Source organism: Homo sapiens, chromosome 12, assembly GCF_000001405.40.
Source record: "Homo sapiens chromosome 12, GRCh38.p14 Primary Assembly".
NCBI classification, from domain to species: Eukaryota; Metazoa; Chordata; class Mammalia; order Primates; family Hominidae; genus Homo; species Homo sapiens.
The window spans coordinates 122334547-122354798 of NC_000012.12; the positions used below are offsets into that span (position 1 = coordinate 122334547).

Consider the following 20252-nt stretch of genomic DNA (forward strand, 5'->3'; position numbering starts at 1 on the left):
TAGGCTACGAGCAGTGTAACTCTGTGCACTCCACAGGTCAGCTCCAGTATGAAAGAATGATATTTTTTAAAGCAATCTGCACACGCTCTGGTAAGACATACCTTGCATACTTCTCTGAACAGAGACTGCCTCCTCTGAAGCTTCAGCAAACTTTTCTTTCTAAAGAAAAAGAATGAGAGATTCTGAACAGAAAGATTTCAAATTGTAAAGACAAGAAGTTTCTATCAATTATAACTACGATACTGTCTACTTTTTGTTGCTGGTCTTGTTTTATTAAAACTAATACACCTCAAACATATGACACCAATTACTACATGTGGGTCATAAACATGTGCATGTATACACACAAAAGAGTGCAGTTTGCATGTGTGTGTATGGACATGTGGGAAGGCAGGTTCACCAGCATGCCCATGTAGGCATGTTCGTACTTAGGTAAGTACATGCATGTGCGTGTATACATAGGGTGCACGTGCATGCTTCATGTTGCCACCTCTCAAACAGCAGACCTTCTCTTCAGAAATCTGTGTGAAATGGTGAACAAAGCTCTGAAGTTTGTTATTTCTGAGAGTAATCTAATATCTTGAATCTAGGTCTGTGTCGCTACTTTTGAAACTGAAAAGGCCCATAAGTCACTTACAGTTCAAGGTCTTTTCTAAACATGACAATAGGCCAAGCTAAAAATCACTCTCCTGGTTGTCCTGAGATGAACTTCGAGCTAGCTACATCAAGAAGGTTGTTACATGAGTATTTCTAACTAGATAGGATTATGAAAAGATGGTGCAGGGGCCACAGTGCATCCAAGCCCACAGGCTGCCCCCTGTGCCATCCCACAGCCAGACTCAAGGTGGCATGTCTTGTCCTAAGATATACGGAAGGATACTCTAACTTAGGGGGAAAAAAAAAAAGGCAAGGCATCCTAAAAGCTTGGGAGGAGGGCAGAGAAGCAATGAACTCAAAACATTTTCTTAAAGGACACCAGGCTGGGCGCAGTAGCTCACGCCTATAATCCCAGCACTTTGGGAGGCCGAGGAGGGCAGATCACTTGAGGTCAGTCGTTCAAGACCAGCCTGGCCAACATGGAGAAACCCCATCTCTACTAAAAATACAAAAATTAGCCAGTCGTGGTAACAGGCGCCTGTAATCCCAGCTACTCAAGAGGCTGAGGCAGGAGAATTTCTTGAACCTGGGAGGCAGAGGCTGCAGTGAGCCGAGATCGCGCCACTGCACTCCAACCTGGGCAACAGAACAAGACTCTGTCTCAAAAAAAAAAAAAAGATCACACACGTTAATTCACACTGTTAATAGCACAGAAGTGTAATGAACAGCGAAGAGGAAGGGATGTGGAGGACCTGGGACAGCTGACCCTGCGTGGCACATATACCTCGTCTAGTTTCTCCATAAGCCTCTGGCTTTTCTTTCCATGGCATGTGGGTGGGTACCACTGGCACTACTCATGAGTATCAGCCTTGTTTAAACTCGGGTTTTCAGTGCAGGAGGCAAGTAGGAAGGAACAGAGTTGAGAAAAGGTAAAAAATATACATATGCCATACAACTTGAGATTAAGGAAAGAGAAAACATATAAAAGGGAAGGTAATTTTCTGAGATGGAATAAACTGAGTTAGATTTATTTTAATTTATTTAATTAGACAGCAAGCATCCTGCCTCGCCAACAGAGGGCGCCTACGGCCCAGTACAGCTACTGCCCTGATAATCACAGTTTAGGGGCCTCATTCAATATGAAGGGGCCTCATTCAATATGAAACCTAACTGTGTTCGATGTATAACTTGGAAGGGCTCTGTGTTTAGTAAAACTAAGTAGTCAATAACATTTCAAAGCAGTGCGTTACCAAAGGCGAAGGGATAGATTAAAAAAAAAAAAAAAAAAAAGTAATACCTACCTTTGTTGTTTGGGTTTGATCCGATTCCCCTCAAAGGACAATATTTATCAGCCAATAACTAATACACTCAAGTTGAATCAACACTTAGAAAGAGAAAGGAAACAGCTACAATATTTCTTACTGGAGGATTTTTTAAAACAGGAAATGGCCAGAAACCCTGAGATTCAGATTCCCAACAGGTACTTACCAAAATCTGAAGTTCTTTTTCCAAAGTCTCTTTCACTTGACTGACTTCACTCAAATTTTCCTGAAGGTTAGTAAGCTTTAGCTCTCTCCCCTGGAGCTCTCTGGTAATGCTACTAGCCTAACACACAGTGTTACATGGTATAGAAGCAAATGAACAAAAGGAAAACAAAAGAGAATGAGAAGAAAAAAATAAACAAATGTAAAAAACTTATGAGAAACATAAAACAAAACTGAAAGGAATACAAATTTGGTGTTGGTTTTTAATTCTAAGAAGTCAATGACTTTTCAAACAATCAGTTCTATGATATGATTTCCTAATGGCTATTTTTGTGTTTTTTTTTTTTTCTCTTTCTTTCTGACACAGGGTCTCCCCTGTCACCCAGGCTAGAGTGCAGTGGTGTGATCATGGCTCACTGCAGCCTTAGAACTCCTGAGTTCAAGTGATCTTCCAGCACCAGCCTCCTAAGCAGCGGAGATTACAGGCACGTGCCACTACAGCTAATGTTTAAAAAATTTTTTTACAGATGGGGTCTCTGGCTGGGCTCGGTGGCTAATGCCTGTAATCCCAACACTTTGGGAGGCTGAGGCAAGTGGATCATTTGAGGTCAGGAGTTCAACACCAGCCTGGCCAATATGGTGAAACCCTATCTCTACTAAAAATACAAAAATTAACTGGGCATGGTGGCACGCTCCTGTAATCCCGCTACTTGGGAGGCTGAGGCAGAAGAATCGCTTGAGCCTGGGAGGCGGAGGTTGGGTGAGCCGAGACCAGACCACTGCACTCCAGTCTGGGTGACACAGTGGGACTCTGCCTCAAAAAAAAAAAAAAAAGAAAGAAAAGAGAGATGGGGTCTCACCATGCTGCCCAGGCTGGTCTCAAACTCCTAGACCCAAGCAATCCTCTTATTTTGGACTCTCAAAGTGCTGGGATTAGAGGCATGAGCCACTGTGCCCAGAGACTATTTTTAAATAGTCAAAATAGACTATTTTTCTATACTTCATTGTAACTTGGAGTATCAGCATGATCTAAAGCAGAAGGTGTGGATGCTTACTTTCTAAATGAGCTACTTGAGCAATTTCATTTCCTAGACTTTAAAAACCTTGGCTGGTCACGGTGGCTCACGCCTGTAATCCCAGCACTTTGGGAGGCAGAGGTGGGCGGATCACGAAGTCAGGAGATCGAGGCCATCCTGGCCAACATGGTGAAACCCCATCTCTACTAAAAATATAAAAAATTAGCCAGGCGTGGTGGCACGCACCTGTAGTCCCAGCTACTCAGGAGGCTGAGGCAGGAGAATCGCTTGAACCTGGGAGGTGGAGGCTACAGTGAGCCGAGATCATGCCACTGCACTCCAGCCTGGGCCACAGAGCGAGACTCTGTCTCAAAAAAAAAAAAAACAAAACCAAAACCAAAAAACCTTAAGGCCAGGCACAGTGGCTCACACCTGTTATCCCAGCACATTGGGAGGCCGAGGTCAGCAGATCTCAGCTGAGGTCAGGAGTTCAAGACCAGCCCGGCCAACGTGGTGAAATCCTGTCTCTACTAAAAATACAAAAATTAGCCAGGCGTGGTGGCACACACCTGTGATCCCAGCTACTGGGGAAGCTGAAGCAGGAGAATCCCTTGAGCCTGGGAGGCGGAGGCTGCAGTGAGGGTGACAGAACGAGACTCTGTCTTAAAAAATAAATAAATAAAAACAAAAACCTTAAGATGCGAATATATGTGGTCTACATTATTTTCTCTATTTGTGTATATGCTTAAAGTAGTTTGACATTTAAATAAAATTTAAAAATCCACTGGACAGGCAAGGTGCAGTGGCTGAAGCCTATAATCCCAGCACTTTGGGAGGCCGAGGTCAGTGGATCACTTGAGGTCAGGAGTTCGAGACCACCCTGGCCAACATGGTGAAACCCTCTCTCTATTAAAAATACAAAAATGAGCCAGGCATGATGGCGGGCGCCTGTAATCCTGGCTACTCGGGAGGCTGAGGCAGGAGAATCGCTTGAACCTGGGAGGTGGAGGTTGCAGTGACTCGAGATTGTGCCACTGCACTCCAGCCTGCGCAACAGAGTGAGACTGTCTCAAAAAAACAGAACAAAACAAAACAAAAAAATCCACTGGACAATAGTCATTAGAACTTGGCTTTCATGAAATCTTGATGTTAAAAAGTAAACTAGCATTAGCTAAATATTATCTTCTAATTAATTTTTGTGTTTTGATTAGTATTTCGGAACCACATGAGGAGATTTGAGAAAAATTTCCTGTAACCAGTTTGTCATCTTCGACTATGGTTAGTTAGCAATTTTTTGCTGTTTGTCAGTCCTCACCTCACCCCATTTAACCATCACAACCCTTCCTTCTTTGCCAATAGAGCAGCTTCTCCCACAAAAAAGTTCAGAACATTGAGCATCAATACCAGTGCCTCAACTAGTGGCAGGACTGGGAAACAATTCCTCGAACCACCTTTAAAGATAAAGATGACATTTAACAAGGCTAGTTAGTAAGGAATGCAGCTGGCGAATGTTTCACGTAATTTCCTAAGCCTTGACCACATGCACACTTGTTCAGTATTTCCCCCAGAAAAGGAGGGGACAGATCATGTTCTCATTATGCCACAGAAAAAAACTCCAATGAGATTTCTGCCATGCAAAGGGCTCCAAGCTCTTACCCTTAATTTTGCTGTGAATGTTATTTATCACAGCATGGGTTTTTTTTTGTTTTTTGGAGATGGAGTCTTGCTCTGTCGCCCAGGATGGGGTACAGTGGCACGATCTCAGCTCACTGCCACCTCCACCTCCCGGGTTCAAGCAATTCTTGTGCCTCAGCCTCCTGAGTAGCTGGGACTACAGACGCACACCACCACACCTGGCTAATTTTTGTATTTTTAGTAGACAGGGGCCAGGCTGGACTCAAACTCCTGACCTCAACTGATCCGCCTGCCTCAGCCTCCCAAAGCACTGGGATTACAGGCATGAGCCACCTTGCCCGGCCAACATGTTAATTTATAATAGTCAAGAAGCACTGAATTCAGTCTGTTTTTATACATAACCCTATAGATAAGCAATTACAGTCATGCATTGCTTAAGAACCAGGATATCTTATGAGAAATGCATCATTAGGCATTTCATTGTTGTGGGGACATCACAGGGTGCACTTACACACACCTAGAAGGTATAGTCTACTACACACCTGGGCTACGTGGCACAGCCTATTGTTCCTATACTATAAACCTGTATAAAATGTTACTGTACTGAATGTTGTAGGCAACTGTAACACAATGCTAAGTATTTGTGTATCAAAGCATATTTAAACATACAAAAGGTAAAGATACCATATTACAATCTTATGGAACCGCCTTTGTTTATGTGGTCCATTGTTGATTGAAACATCATTATGTGGCACCTGACTATATGTGGTTAGAAGAGGAGGAGATGATCTTTTAAGCTTTTTTTTTTTTTTTCCTTTAGACAGAGTCTTGCTCTGTCTCCCAGGCTGGAGTGCAGTGGAATAATCTCAGGTCACTGCAACCTCCGCCTCCCGGGTTGTTCAAGTGATTCTCCTGCCTCAGCCTCCTGGGTAGCTGGGATTACAGGTGTCCGCCACCATGCCAGGCTAATTTTGTATTTTTAGTAGAGATGGGGTTTCACTATGTTGGCCAGGCTGATCTCGAACTCCTGACCTCAGGTGATCACCTGCCTCAGCCTCCCAAAGTGCTGGGATTACAGGCGTGAGCCACTGCGCCTGGCCGATCTTTTGAGTTTCTGTTCATTCATTCATCTTAACACCATAGTGTTAGGGCATTCTTTATTTTAAACAGATTATAGACTGGAGCTAAGCTTAAATTAGAAGTCACAGCATAGCCCAGAGATAAATAGATCAGGTACCCAGATAACAGGCAACCAAAATAAATTCACATGGTTGAGCCATTATTTTCTCTAATCTCCTCAGATGAAACCATACTTGAGATACTCAGAACATACTACACTATACTCAACTGGGGACATCAAGCAATTTAATTAAATCAGCAATTTGGAAGATGAATGATCTCAACTCAAAAGTAACATAATGCAAAACAAGAATAACAAATGGAAAAGAAAAGAATGGAGGATGTCAATACAAACCTTGCTACTTTCAGCATTCTTTTCAATCTCTAAATGTTTAATCTGTTTCTCAGCTGCCTCAAGCTGCTGTCTAAGTTTCTTCATTTCCGATTTACCTTCGGAACTGGCTTTCCGAAGTGCATCAAGATCCAAGAGCTTTTCTTCAGTAGCCTTGAGCTGTGATGTAAAATTATCAATAACCTTGGTTTGTTCATTGCATTTGGCTTGCAGTACCTCTAGCTCCTTTACCTTTATTTCAGCTTCCTGTAATTTGTTTAACGTGTCTTCCATTTCTACGAGATGCTGGTCTTCTGCTTTGTCCAGTTTCGACCTGATGGCTTCCAGACTGTTTTCCTTTTCTTTAATAACTTTCATCAGTTTAGCCCTCAAGGCTTCCATCTCTTTAGCATGGGCAGCCCGTTCAGAGTCTTGTTGATTCTGCAAATTTTCTATTTCGTGTTGGTAATCTAGTCTCATTTTCTCTATTTGTGTTTTTAGTTCAGCAAATTCTGCCGTCTCTGTTCCAAGCCCTTTGCTGAAAGATACCTTCAGTTCTTCCATCGCCTGCTGGTGGGATGCGATGGCAGTCTCCAGTTTGGACTTCCATAGAGCTATCACATCTGAGTTCTCTTTGTTGGCATGCTCCAGCTTGCTTTTCAATGACTCGTTCTCTTTGGAAAGCTTTTCCGTGGCGGTATACAGAGCCTTTATCTCCTTCTGATGAGTTTCTTCCCGGGCTCCAAAATGCTCCTTCAGAGAAGTTATTTCTCTCTGGTGGTCAGTACGGGTGACTTCTAACTTTTCTTGCAAAGAGCTTATCTCTTGCAAAAGGGAAAGTGACATGTCCACATCCCCAGCAGGCTTATTGGACTCTAGCCTTCTTCGGAGCTCAGCTACTTCCTGTACTCTCAATGCTAGGTCTTTCTCCAGTTCCATTATACGTGACTTTTCTGAAACTGTAGCCACCTATTAACAGCAGTCCAAAGAAAAAAAGATCATTTAAATAACAAGTCATTGACTATTTTCTTTTCTTTTTTTTTTTTTTTTTTTTTTTTTTTTTTTTTTTTTTGAGATGGAGTTTCGCTCTTCTTACCCAGGCTGGAGTACAATGGTGCGATCTCAGCTCACTGCAACCTCCACCTCCTGGGTTCAGGCGATTCTCCTGCCTCAGCCTCCTGAGTAGCTAGGATTACAGGCATGCGCCACCACACCCAGCTAATTTTTGCATTTTTAGTAGAGATGGGGTTTCACCATGTTGGTTAGGCTGGTCTCAAACTCCTGACCTCAGGTGATCCACTCGCCCCGGCCTCCCAAAGTGCTGGGATTACAGGCATGAGCCACTGCACCTGGCCTGATTATTTTCTTTAACACTGAAGATATTTAATAACTACCCCATCTCAGGCAGCAAACTATTATGAACGTTTATAGGTTAATATATATTTCTAACTGTGATAATGGCTTAAGTCCAACTTTAGTATCTCCAATTCTAAAGAAGCTTAAATCAGATAAATATCCATTAACTGATAAGTTAACAGAAACAGTAACTTTCAAAGTTCACAGATATAACTGCCTCCTGAAAGAAAACATTTCCTTATTTTGCCAGTTTGTCCTACCCCACTTCATCCAGGTTGCATAAATGCTTATCCATTTCATGGAGGTGATCTTATAGAACTGTGCCATCCGGAACAGTAGCTGTTGGCCACACGTGGCTATTGAGCACTTGAGATGTGGCTCATCTGAAGTGAGGTGTGGTATAAGTGCAAAATACACATCAGATTTTGAAGACTTAGAAGAAAAGGATCACAAAATGTCTTGTGGGCCAAGTGCAGTGGCTCACGCCTGTAATCCCACCACTTTGGGAGGCCGAGGCAGAAGGATCACTTGAGGCCAGGAGTTCAAGATCAGTCTCGGCAACACAGCAAGACCCCGTCTTTGCAAAAAATAAAAAATTAGCCAGGCATGGTGGTGTCGCCTGTGGTAACAGGTACTTGGGAGGCTAAGACGGGAGGATTGCTTGAGTCTAGGAGGTTGAGGCTATAGTGAGTAATTGTGCCATTGTACTCCAGCCTGGGAGACAGAGCACGACTCTGTCTCTAAAAAAAAAAAAAAACAAACTGAAATTATATTTTAAAATGTTTAAAATATCTTAATAATTTTATTTTGATTAATATTTTGAATATATCAGTTACATAAAATATATTATTAAAACTAATTTAACTTGTGACTTACAAAAAAGTAATGTGGGTACCAGAAAATTATAAATTGTACATGTGTGGCTTACATTATACTTCTATTGGACAGCACTTGCATAAAAGGTCTAAAATTACCTATCAAATGTTTCAATGAATAACACATCACCTGTAGAATGAAAGCCTCAATTGAAGAATGAAGAATTAATTTACTAAACTTTTTTTTTTTTTTTTTTTGAGATGGAGTTTTGCTTTCGTTGCCCAGTGCAATGGCGCGATCCCAGCTCACTGCAACCTCCACCTCCCAGGTTCAAGCGATTCTCCTGCCTCAGCCTTCCAAGTAGCTGGGATTACAGGCATGTGCCACCAGACCTGGCTAATTTTGCATTTTTAGTAGAGACGGGGTTTCACTATGTTGGTCAGGCTGGTCTCGAACTCCTGACCTCCAGTGATCCACCCACCTTGGCCTCCCAAAGTGCTGGGATTACAGGCGTGAGCCACCACGCCTGGCCTACTGATCATTTTATTAAAACACAAAGTAAGAATGATTACTTACCTGCAATAATACACAAGAATCTTACACAAAATCCCCTTTTTAGATATGATAATTCTATCAGCATTTTGATGTAAACATCTTCTTCCCCTAACCCCCTAACCCAGTGGTTCTCAGACATTAGTACGCACATGAATCACCTGGAATGTACATCTAACCTGCAAGTTTCTACCTATTCCCATGTACTTCGATTCTATTTGAGCTCCGGGATAGTACCCAAGAATCTTCTTCCTTTAAATAAATACCCCAGGGCTAGAAAAACACTTTCTTAACCTGTGCCCTTTCATTGCTAGAAAATTACTTCCCTCTGCTACCTGCTATGCAGTCCATTTAGTACATAGGATGTGTGGAAAATAGCTTCCATCACAAAAATTCTTGGACTAATCTGGGAAATGAAAGGGAACAAAATAATTTTAAAACAGCAGTGAGTCCCATATTTCAAGGATCAAAACTCCTGTGATTGGCTGGGTGAGGTGGTACATGCCTATATACCTAGCACTTTGGGAGGCCAAGGCAAGAGGATCACTTGTGGCCAGGAGTTCAAGATCAGCCTGGGCAACACAGCGAGAACTCCATCTCTACAAAAAAATGTTAAATATTCTTCTGAATTTAAGACTCCTCTCCCACACTGCCTTTCTTTGAGACAGAAAATAACAGATATGTTTTCTTTCATTTCCTCTGTCCACCCTACAGGCTGTGACACCAATAAAGATTAAAATGCCCATAAGAGAAGAGGAAAAGAAAGCACTGAGTCTCCAAAACTGCATAATCAAAGTAAATAAAATTAAATATTTCAGAGCTGACTATAATTGCTGTGCTTCGTGGTTATAGACTCATCAGGTTAAAGATGTTAATTCATTTACACATGATTTTCTGGGGAAGGAAGAGTCCAAGAGTTTGTTACGTCAAAATAACATACAAAACATTAATAAACCCATCAGGATCTGGCAGAATTTGCTAAATAAAAGAAAAAAAAACACAAAACACTAATAAACCCCATTGCTGCAAGGTCTGTAGCATAAATACATTAAACCCAATAGGGCAATGGTTCTTAGTTACAACAAAACAGTCAAGTAGAGAAAAATGCCAAGTAAAAAATAAGTAAAAATAATAAATACCAATGTGATTTTACTTTCCGTGGCATTTCCCTATAAAGTACAGCAATTTATTTTTCATTTCCCAAAATCTGCCCTAATTCAAAACTATGTGGTATGTCTGCTTCTCCCACTAGTTTGAGACCATGAATTAAGTCAGAAATTATTTCTTATTCTTCCTAACATCTCTACAGCACCAAGCACACTGTTTGGAAACTGGATTTATTGGCTAGAAAGTATTCTAAAGCACTTCCTAAAAAGTAACATAGGTGATATGAAACTTACATGGGTAGCTGGTTATCTTAACACTTGGGAACCCAAGAGTGAGGATCAACAGAAGACATACTTCGTTATGGAAAGATATAAGCTTTACACTGAAATACTTGGATAAACCATGGTGTAACTGAATGCCTTATCTAGAGCAGGAAAAAAAACATCAAAATTGTTTGCTGACAAAACTAAGATACGGGAGAGGAGTTTACATGTTTTAAAAAAATATATTACTTCAAAAGCCATCACACTAAAGGAACTCAATCTCATTAGTCCATTGTATTTCCCGGATCAATTATTTGGCTCTCAGTTAATGAGGAAACAGCACCAAATTGCCACTTTTTTTTTTTTTTTTGAAACAGGGTCTTGCTCTATTGCCCAGGCTGGAGTGCAGAGACATGAACATGGCTCACTGCAAGCCTCGACCTCCTGGGCTCAAGAGATCCTTCCACCTCAGCCTGCCATGTAGCCACCACACCCAGCTAATTTTTTTTTTTATTTTTTGTAGAAGCAGGGTATCACCACCTTGCCCAGGCTGGTCTTGAATTCTTGGACTCAGGTGATCCTCCTGCCTTGGCCTCCCAAAGTGCTGGGATTACAGGCATGAAACACCATGCCTGGCCCACTCTTTTTTTGTTTTCTTACCAAATACACAGGAGAAATCTTTAGTTCAGAGGCCGATAGTTCCTTCTTCTTAAAAAATAAAAACACATGATTTAGAAAAGAAAAATTGTCTAGATTTTTAGATCAGTCAATTAATTCTCAACAAGAGAAATTTCTACAAACACTAGAAATTTTTTTAAAAATCAGGATAGCAAATTTGATTAGAGACAGAGTAATTTTTGGAATTCTAAAGTTAAGAATCTGGGCAATTTAGTCACTGACAGACAAATTCATGATTTAAAAGGGTATGTGACTACATATCTTACATGTAAGTGACTATTTCTTTTTCTTTTTTTTTTTTTGAGACAGAGTTTCGCTCTTGTTGCCCAGGCTGGAGTGCAATGGCGTGATCTCGGCTCACCGCAACCTCTGCCTCCCAGGTTCAAGTGATTCTCCTGCCTCAGCCTCCCTAGTAGCTGGGATTACAGGCATGTGTCACCACGCCCGGATAATTTTAGTATTTTTAGTAGAGATGGGGTTTCTCCATGTTGGCCAGGCTGGTCTCAAACTCCCAACCTCAGGTGATCCACCCACCTCAGCCTCCCAAAGTGCTGGGATTACAGGCATGAGCCACCGCGCCTGGCCATTTCTTAATCTTTACGCACAAAACAACTTCCATAATAGACGGACTCCATCCTGTGGTGCTTAAGAGCACAGACTCTGGGGCCAAATGTCCTAGATGCAAATCCTGCCTCCATTATTACTATTTGCTGTTTTATCTTAGGCAAGTTATTTAACTTCTCTGCGCCTCAGTGTTCTTGTCTGTAAAATGGGGACACTAATATTCCCTACCTCCTAGGGTTGTGTTGAGACTGAATACCTGCAAAGCACTTAGAATAGTGTCTGGCATGAAGTATGCACTATATAGGTGCTTTAATATATAAATAAACTAAAACCTGAGTAATGTCCTGGCTCCAAGGGCTAAGCACAATGAGCTCAGGGCAGGAAGAAGCCATTCTGTTCCCAACATGCATTTCCCTCCTCACCACTGAGGGTTTTTTTGTTTTGTTTTGTTTTTTCCAGACAGAGTCTCACTCTGTCACCCAGGCTGGGGTGCAGTGGCACGATCTCAGCTCATTGCAAACTCCATTTCCTGGATTCAAGCAATCCTCCTGCCTCAGCCTCCCATGTACCTGAGATTACAGGCATGCGCCACCAGGCCCAGCCAATTTTTGTATTTTCAGTAAAGACAGGGTTTCACCATGTTGGCCAGGCTGGTCTCAAACTCCTGACCTCAAGTAATCTGCCTGCCTCAGCCTCCCAAAGTGCTGGGATAAGAAGCAAGAGCCACTGCGCCCAGTGTCCACTGAGGTTTCAATCCCCCGAGCGACAGGAAGGAGGGAGATGCAGAGATCAGCCTTCCAAGATAAAAAGGTAACTGGGGTGAAAGTTTTTAACTCTCATGAAACACAGCCCATGTTTCCATTTCCTTCTCCAAGAGGCCAGGGAAGAAGGCAGGAAGAGAGCTAAAGTAAAACAACAATAACAAAAAATTATTTAGAAAGCCTAGTAACTAGATATTTGAGAACAAGAGGACAATTGACTGCTTGTGGCCAACTGGAGAAATATATTTCATGGTATTAATATAAATAACTTCAAATACAGTTATATCCATTCATTTATTCAGTTGTAAAGTTTCTGATCCTGATTTGGTTGGGTTACCAAAGGAATGAGTCTTTACTTTTGACAAAAGACGAGATATAAAACACCTGTTCCTACTCATCAGTCTCAGCTCACAAACACCTGAATGGTACCAAGACCAAACTCAGGTTGAACCACTGGGTCAAGGCTCAGGCCAACTATAAAGCATGTCACCTGAGGTGTCCACCCTTCACATGCATGGGTCTGCTTCATTAAATAGTGAAAACCATTACCCTAGTGTCTTCTAACTCCCTCTGGAGTTTGTCAGCTTTGGTCTTTTCAAAGAGCAGGCTCTGTTCAAGCTCCTTAATGCGGGCATGCTCCAGTTTGGTCTGCGTCTGTTAGTAAAAAGGAAGAGGAAGAGAACACAACAGTGCCACCATGACATGCCAGCACGAGAGGAGAGACAGCGGCATGCAGGCTGAGCCACCAGTACCTTCTGCCAAAGGGTGAACCAAAGGGGAATGGAGAAGGGAAGAGGTGGAGGTGAGATGAGGTGGGCAGTGAGGATGAATACCAGGGACAAAGGATGGTGGTGGGCAGGGGGCATGGGCTAGTCTGTTCAGAAAGAAAAAATGGAAAACACATGAGGCCAGATGAAGTGTCAGAGGCATGCAGCCAAATATAAGTAATATTGATAAGTGAAGTTTATCAGCACCAATTAGAATAGTTAATATCCCTCCCTCTAAACTATCATTATCCCTCCGCCCCACAAAGGCTACTTGACATTAATGTGTATGTAACTGACTCGATAACTTCACAAGGTATATTGACCCTCAGAATGATGGTCACTATCACCTAAATATGGCAAAGGTATTATAAATCTTAAACTGTTCAATAAGTCCTTAGAGCAGATTCTTGCACCTTAGCATATAACTTGACGTAAATAAGGGTCAAATAAAAACCTCAGTAGAAGGAATCTATTCCTTCTCTAGCTCCAACTAGAGCTAAGAAATCATGCTAGCAGCCTCTGCAGAAATGGGTGAGAAGGGTCTGAGTTAAGAGTCTTAGCAACATTCCTACATGTGATGGGGAAGAGGCCATGGAAGCTCTAGTTTCCTTCCAGCAGTGGATGTCCCAAAGGCTATTGGGCTCCAGGGAGGGAAAAAAGGACTCAGAATTACAAAGAGAAAATTTAGTAATAATTATCCTCTATAGTCTCCATCTCTGAAGGAGTCCAATTGAGAGGCTCAAGAGAGGAGGAAAGTTTACCTCAAACTGGTAAGGGGTTTATTATTTTTACCTTAAGATGAAGTTGTTTTTATTAGCTCAGACATAAAAACGCAACTCAACACAAAGGCATGAGTTTGAGCTCTCTCAAAAAGAGCTGGTGGGTTCCTAAGGTGATTCAAAACCTGTGATCTCAGATACTCTGCTCTCCCCACCATTACGCACTTGGATGTAGCCTGATAGGGAACCCAGAGGATAATCTCTAACAGGTTTAAGTGCAGCAGAATCTTAATTTGAAATAATCTAGGTCCAAATGTACCTCTTCCCACCCCCACCTCTCTTACACAAGAGGTTATCAGTTATCAGAATCAGTGACTGACAAGGCCCACACCCGCAGGGCTGCTCTCAGCAACTGTCAGTTACGTGCAGTAATTTAAATACTTTGTGGTACTAATTGACCTATCAGTCTGGACAATTATGGGCAATGAAAAAATGACAACAGACTCTAAACAAAGTGACACAAAGTGCAGAGCTTCAGTAGAGGGGGGAATGTAAAAGTGAAGATTGCAAACGTCTTCACTCATTCCAGTGGGACTCGGGGACCTCAATACATTCAAGAGGTCACTTTGCTTGTAAACCAGGTATCGACAAACCATGATGAGATATTTAAAAGGTGAACAAAAAAATTTTTTTTAATTCATCACCTGCTTCAGCTCTGTATACTCCACAAAAATAATGAAATACAATTCAAGCCCTAACTGTCTGGATAATCCCCTTGGTCTGTATGTGCCTTGGATGGACACTGTTCAATTTCCCTGCTTTTATAAGAAAAGAATCTAATCCTTATCTACATAATTGGGGTCACAGCCTCAGGAGCTGAAATCCAAAACTACAGTAGTAGGAAAAAGAAAAGGCAATAGAACCTTTCTTCTCTTGACACAGTTAAGTGTCCTCTGGGTAAAAGGTCACTATTTCCAGATAAAAAGCAAATACACATTTAATGTGATCTCCTCCCCATTCAGAGATCTTTCAGATAAGCGTAGCCAACGCCTCCTTACTGATGGGTCTATATACACATTATCTGGGACTCTACAGTGCCTCAGCCTCCGTAGTAGCTGGGATTACAGGCATGCGCCACCACACCTGGCTAATTTTTGTATTTCAGTAGAGACTGGGTTTCACCATGTTGGCCAGGCTGGTCTCGAACTGGCTGGTCTCAAACTCCTGACCTTGAGTGATCAATCAGCAGCAAGGGAACTAGTGATCCACTTCCATGCCACAGCACACAGTAAAAATGTGACACTGAACAGGACAACCCTTCTTGTAAAATCATTCCTTTCTTAGAATAAGAACACAGAGTATCCCAAGAGGAAAGTCCTGGGACAGGGGATTGAGAAGGAAAGCAAAGGCTTTGCGAGAAGCGCACAGGAAAGGCAGGGGGGAAATCCCATGCAGACTGACACCGGGGGCAGCGGGAGCCTGTTTCGGAAGGAGAGAAGAGACCCAGATCACTGAAGTAGCTTCACAAAAAGGAACCCTTCAGAACGAAGACCTTTTAAAAAATTCAGTCTTGTGTTTTTTTGTTTTTTTTGTTTTTTTTGTTTTTTTTTGAGATGGAGTTTTGTTCTTGTTGTCCAGGCTGGAGTGCAGTGGCATGATCTCCTGTCACTGCAACCTCTGCCTCCTGGGTTCAAGCGATTCTCCTGCCTCAGCCTCCCTAGTAGCTGGGATTACAGGTGCGTGCCACCATATTCGGCTAATTTTTGTATTTTTAGTAGAGACAGGGTTTCACCATGTTGGCCAGGCTGGTCTCAAACTCCTAACCTTAGGTGTTCTGCCCGCCTCAACCTCCCAAAGTGCTGGGATTACAGGTGTGAGCCACAGTGCCTGGCCAAAAGTTTAGTCTTGAGTTGTCTATTTCAGCTGCCAGGAGGTGGTAGGAAGTAATGTCATTCTTTAATTTCCGTCTTATGTGGCAGTAAATCAAGGCAAAACGTTTTCAGGTTCTTTACAACCAGCAGCACAGCTGGCAGGGTACACCAGGAAGCAGGGCTCTGGAGACCACATAGCAAGGACTTGTACTGGGTGTTTGAACTTGGAGGAAGAAAAATAAAACACCTGCATACCTAGTAATGCTACAGCTAGAAAACTCTCACTTCGGTAATAACAATTTAAAACATGCTATTGTCTTCATTGACAAACGCTTGCCTCTAGTTTTGCAACTAAGGAAAATATTGTAGAAACAAACAGAAGTTTAAATGTCTCATCAGCTGCACTGGCAGGCACTGGCCAGTGGCGGGGGCACACTGAAAAGGCAGCCAGTCAGCTCCGGGACAGCAGCCAGCCTCACAATCCCCTTTCCTCTCATGGGAAGCAAAATTAGACAACTTGGAAACTTCCCCAGAATTCCCACAACTCCACATCTAGAATGCCTTATGCTCCAGCCAGATATCATCTCTTTTGGAATAATTCCACTAAAATTAGAAGACATTATGAATTAGGTGAAGAAGGCCAGGTCTCCAGACAAAAAACATTTTTCCCCCCTTTCTGGCAAAATTCTTTATAAAGCAAACGTTGGCCTATTCATTAAACACATGAATGTGTGGAGCTTAGTCATTACATACAATTTCTTCAGGATATAAATGTAATTGCTTTGAAAGCCACATGCACAGAAACATTAAGGTCAATGTCCCAAGGTCAGATTATGCAGTTAGTGTTTGAGTATATCAATAAGCATTTTAATCTGTGATCAATCTTTGTTAACAAGGGAAATATCCACACAGTTAAGTGCCCTCTTACATTCTCAGGATCTTCAGAAATCTGGCTCTTTTGCTATCAGTAAAAAAATAAAAAAAATTAAACAACAACAAAAAAGAGATTCCAATAAAGCTTCAATATGTGTTAGGGTTTCAAGATAACTTTATTTGATTAATTTCAAGTAAGTTTATCAGACAGACTATACAACCCAGTGCTGATGTAAATTATTTTAACTGGACCCTCCTGAAGACACCATGGGCTATATTTCACATGAATTAGATGATGACATGAAACTTCTAATGAGACTTTGGGGTGTTTTTAAATGGATGAGAACAACACAAAAATTGACTAAAGGAATGTGGCTGTATATGAAATGAGTGAAGAAGATATCTATTAAATTGTTAATGAACCATTAAATTCTGGGCCCCATAAAACTAGAACCCAGAAAATGCCCCCCTTGCTCTTTGTTAACTGTAAAGATACATTTATTTTCAAAGAAATCAGAGTTGCTGTTTGGAAGGGCCCCTCAAATTTAAGCATGGTGTGGGCAGCCAGCAGACTCTAAAATTGTAGCAAAACTGCATATTTGGGAAACGCACAGTTAAGTGCAATTTTTACTAAAATATTGTAGATTAAAGAACTACAAATCTGGAAAATTTGAAAAACTGAATGATTTACATTTGTCATATATCTAGCAATGGCTTGAAACCATCAAAACCATTTAATTCTGGTGTCTAATTTAAAAACTAATATGAATAAATTGTTAAAAAGGGATGAGAAACCTGACACTAAAGGAAAATCCATGAATTCTACAAATGCCATGAAAGTAAAAGAAGTTGAAATATAAAGTGTTCTTAGTTTTTGCTCTGCTAATTACTTTTTTAAAAAAATTAACAATTACAACATATTCCTTTTATAGGGTTATAAAAGGATTTATCCTGCTCAACTGGAAAGCAAAGCTGAGATAAAGCAAAAAACTTTGTTGTGGACTTTTTTTTTTTTTTTTGGAGACAAAGTCTCGACCCATCCCCCAAGCTGGAGTGCAGTGGCACGATCTCGGCTCACTGCAACCTCCACCTCCTGGGTTCAAGCGATTCTCCTGCCTCAGCCTCCCAAGTAGCTGGGATTACAGGCACCCGCCACCACGCCCGGCTAATTTTGTATTTTTAGTAGAGACGGGGTCTCACCACGTTAGCCAGGCTGGTTTCGAACTCCTGACCTCGGGTGATCCACCTACCTCGGCCTCCCAAAGTGCTGGGATTACAGGCGTGAACCACCGCACCCGGCCTGTTATGGACTACTATGACAAAATTTAAAATGCCTTTTCTAATCATCAGACGAACACCATTAAGTCTCACTTAGGACTGCTTTAAATTGAGGACACACTGCCAGATTTATGACTTGATGAGATCCAATTCATGGTTTTGCATTTTGAAGCATGAGAAAGAAGTAGTGCAAGTTCCACTCTGCTAGGAAGTGGGCCACACACTCACAGGCTCAAGTACCGGCACCGTCACCACAAAGCCACCCCCAGAACCTTCCCCCGCCACTTCCTCAGCTGGCTGTTCTGGCCGCTCATTTCAATTGGTGCATTATTTCGCCCGTGTTCTGAATACTGATACCCATAAAAGCTGTAAGAGAGCTGGAGGGGTTTTACCTCAAGATCACCTTTGGTAATTGATTCTTCTTCAACCCGGAACTGAAGGTCCTCAACCTTCCTGTGGAATAAAACCCAAACAAAACACTTAAGAAACTAAGTAACACACAGCCTTTAAAAAAACAAAACAAACAAACAAAAAAACACGTTGGGCATGGTAGGCCACTCCTATAATCCCAGCAATTTGGGAGGTGGAGGCAGGAGGATCGCTTGAGGCCAGGAGTTTGAGACCAGCTGGGGCAACATAGTGAGACCCAGTCCTTATATTTAAAAAAAAAAAAAAAAATCTATCATCACTACCCTGGTGAATTCAAGCAGACAGCCACCAGAAATGCCTTAGAGACATAGCAAGTTTAAAAATGCATCTTTGCACTTTGGGAGGGCAAGGTGGGAGAATGGCTTAAAGCCAGGAGTTTAAGAGCGGCCTGAGCAACATGACGAGACCTCATCTCCACCAAAAAATTAAGAAATTAGCCAGGTGTGGCAGCGTGCACCCGTGTCAACTACTTGGGCAGCTGAGGTGGGAGGATTGCTTGAGCCCAGGTAGTCAAGGCTGCAGTGAGTTATGATCGTATGACTGCACTCCAGGCTGCACAACTGAGTGAGACCTTGTCTCAAAAAGAAAAAATAAAATAAGCCACCTGTAATCCTAGCATTTTGTGAAGCTAAGGTGGACAGACTGCTTGAGTTCAGTTTGAGACCAGCCTGGTCAATATGGCAAAACCCCATCTCTACAAAAATTAGCCAGGCATGTTGGCATGTGCCTGTGTCCTAGCTACTTGGGAAGCTGGGGTAGGAGGATCACTTGAGCCAGGGATGTCACAGCTGCAGTGAGCCATGATCACACCAGTGCACTCCAGCCTGAGTGACAGAGTGAGACCCTGTCTCAAAAGATAATAAATAATGTTTTCTTTTTTTTTTTTGAGACGGAGTCTTGCTCTGTCACCCAGACTGGAGTGCAGTGGCGCGATCTCGGCTCACTGCCACCTCTGCCACCCGGGTTCAAGCAATTCTCCTGCCTCAGCCTCCCAAGTAGCTGGGATTACAGGCGCCCGCCAACAGGCCTGGCTAATTTTTGTATTTTTAGTAGAGACGGGGTTTCACCATGTTGGTCACGTTGGTCTCGAACTTCTGACCTCAAGTGATCCACCCGCCTCAGCCTCCCAAAGTGCTGGGATTACAGGCGTGAGTCACTGCGCCCAATCAGGCCATGTCTAAATGATTCCAAACTTATTGAAAAAAGTCAAATCAAAGCAGACGCTCTTCACACAGTATGGCAGAGTTCACCTTCTGCTGGACACATAGTCATTCCTTTGGTTCTAAGGGTTGATACCAACATGATTATTAATAGGAAATTTTCTTCTGAGGTCATTGAAAATGAAAAGGCTGCTGGGCGCGGTGGCTCACACCTGTAATCCCAGCACTTTGGGAGGCTGAGGCAGATGGATCTCCTGAGCTCAGGAGTTCGAGACCAGCCTAGGCAACATGGTGAAACTCCATCTCTACTAAAATACAAAAAATTAGCCAGGCGTGGTGGCACATTCCTGTGGTCCCAGCTACTTGGGAGGCTGAGGCAGGAGAATTGCTTGAACCTGGGAGGCAGAGGTTGTAGTGAGCTGAGATTGCACCACTGCACTGCAGCCTGGGCAACAGAGCTAGACTCTGTCTCAAAAACAAAAAAAAAGGGGGAAAGGCCACACTTGCACCAGGAAACAGTCTGGGGTCACCTTTTCTCCTCTTCAAGCTGGTTGAGAAGCTCCACCTTCTCCCTGTCAGCAGCTTCCACCATTGTTCGCAGCTGGTCCATTTTGGCTTCCAATTCCAGGACATGCTGGGGAAGGCAAGAATGTCGGTAAATGGACTATTTCTGACCCAGATACAGACCCAGTGATACTTCTCCAAAGAGCTGTGGGTCACCATGGTGGGTGGGCGTTACTCTAAAACCTTATGTTAAAAAGCTTTCTCTATTTTAATAGGTTATTCTCAACAGCTTTCCTGGAAGATAGATGATGAAAGTGATAAAGAACAATGTTAAAACACCTCTCATCTTTTTTGAAGCTGAAACACATATTA

General features: G+C 42.4%; 1 protein-coding gene across 24 annotated transcripts in view, besides 1 other annotated feature; it reads right to left on the reverse strand.

The window, feature by feature from the left end:
• CLIP1 (CAP-Gly domain containing linker protein 1) overlaps positions 1-20252 on the reverse strand; it is a 151488-nt gene that overhangs the window by 63078 nt on the left and 68158 nt on the right. For 9 of the 24 annotated variants that reach the window (XM_047429314.1, XM_047429320.1, NM_198240.3 and 6 more), the window contains 5 exons: positions 19907-20010; positions 18180-18240; positions 6207-7151; positions 2086-2202; positions 102-159 (listed from right to left, as the gene is read on the reverse strand). In XM_047429314.1, the coding sequence (XP_047285270.1) occupies positions 102-159; positions 2086-2202; positions 6207-7151; positions 18180-18240; positions 19907-20010 (1285 nt within the window). Of the gene's footprint in view, positions 1-101; positions 160-2085; positions 2203-6206; positions 7152-12828; positions 12934-16564; positions 16598-18179; positions 18241-19906; positions 20011-20252 lie in introns of all 24 variants that reach the window. The other 15 variants (XM_047429318.1, NM_001247997.2, XM_005253593.4 and 12 more) reach the window with 5 other exon arrangements.
• Positions 14616-14910: a silencer, noted in NCBI's record as "tiled region #10749; HepG2 Repressive DNase matched - State 7:EnhWF". NCBI's record gives its function as "represses a minimal TATA promoter and a strong SV40 promoter by Sharpr-MPRA in HepG2 cells {active_cell/tissue: HepG2}" and the evidence as "EXISTENCE:reporter gene assay evidence [ECO:0000049][PMID:27701403]".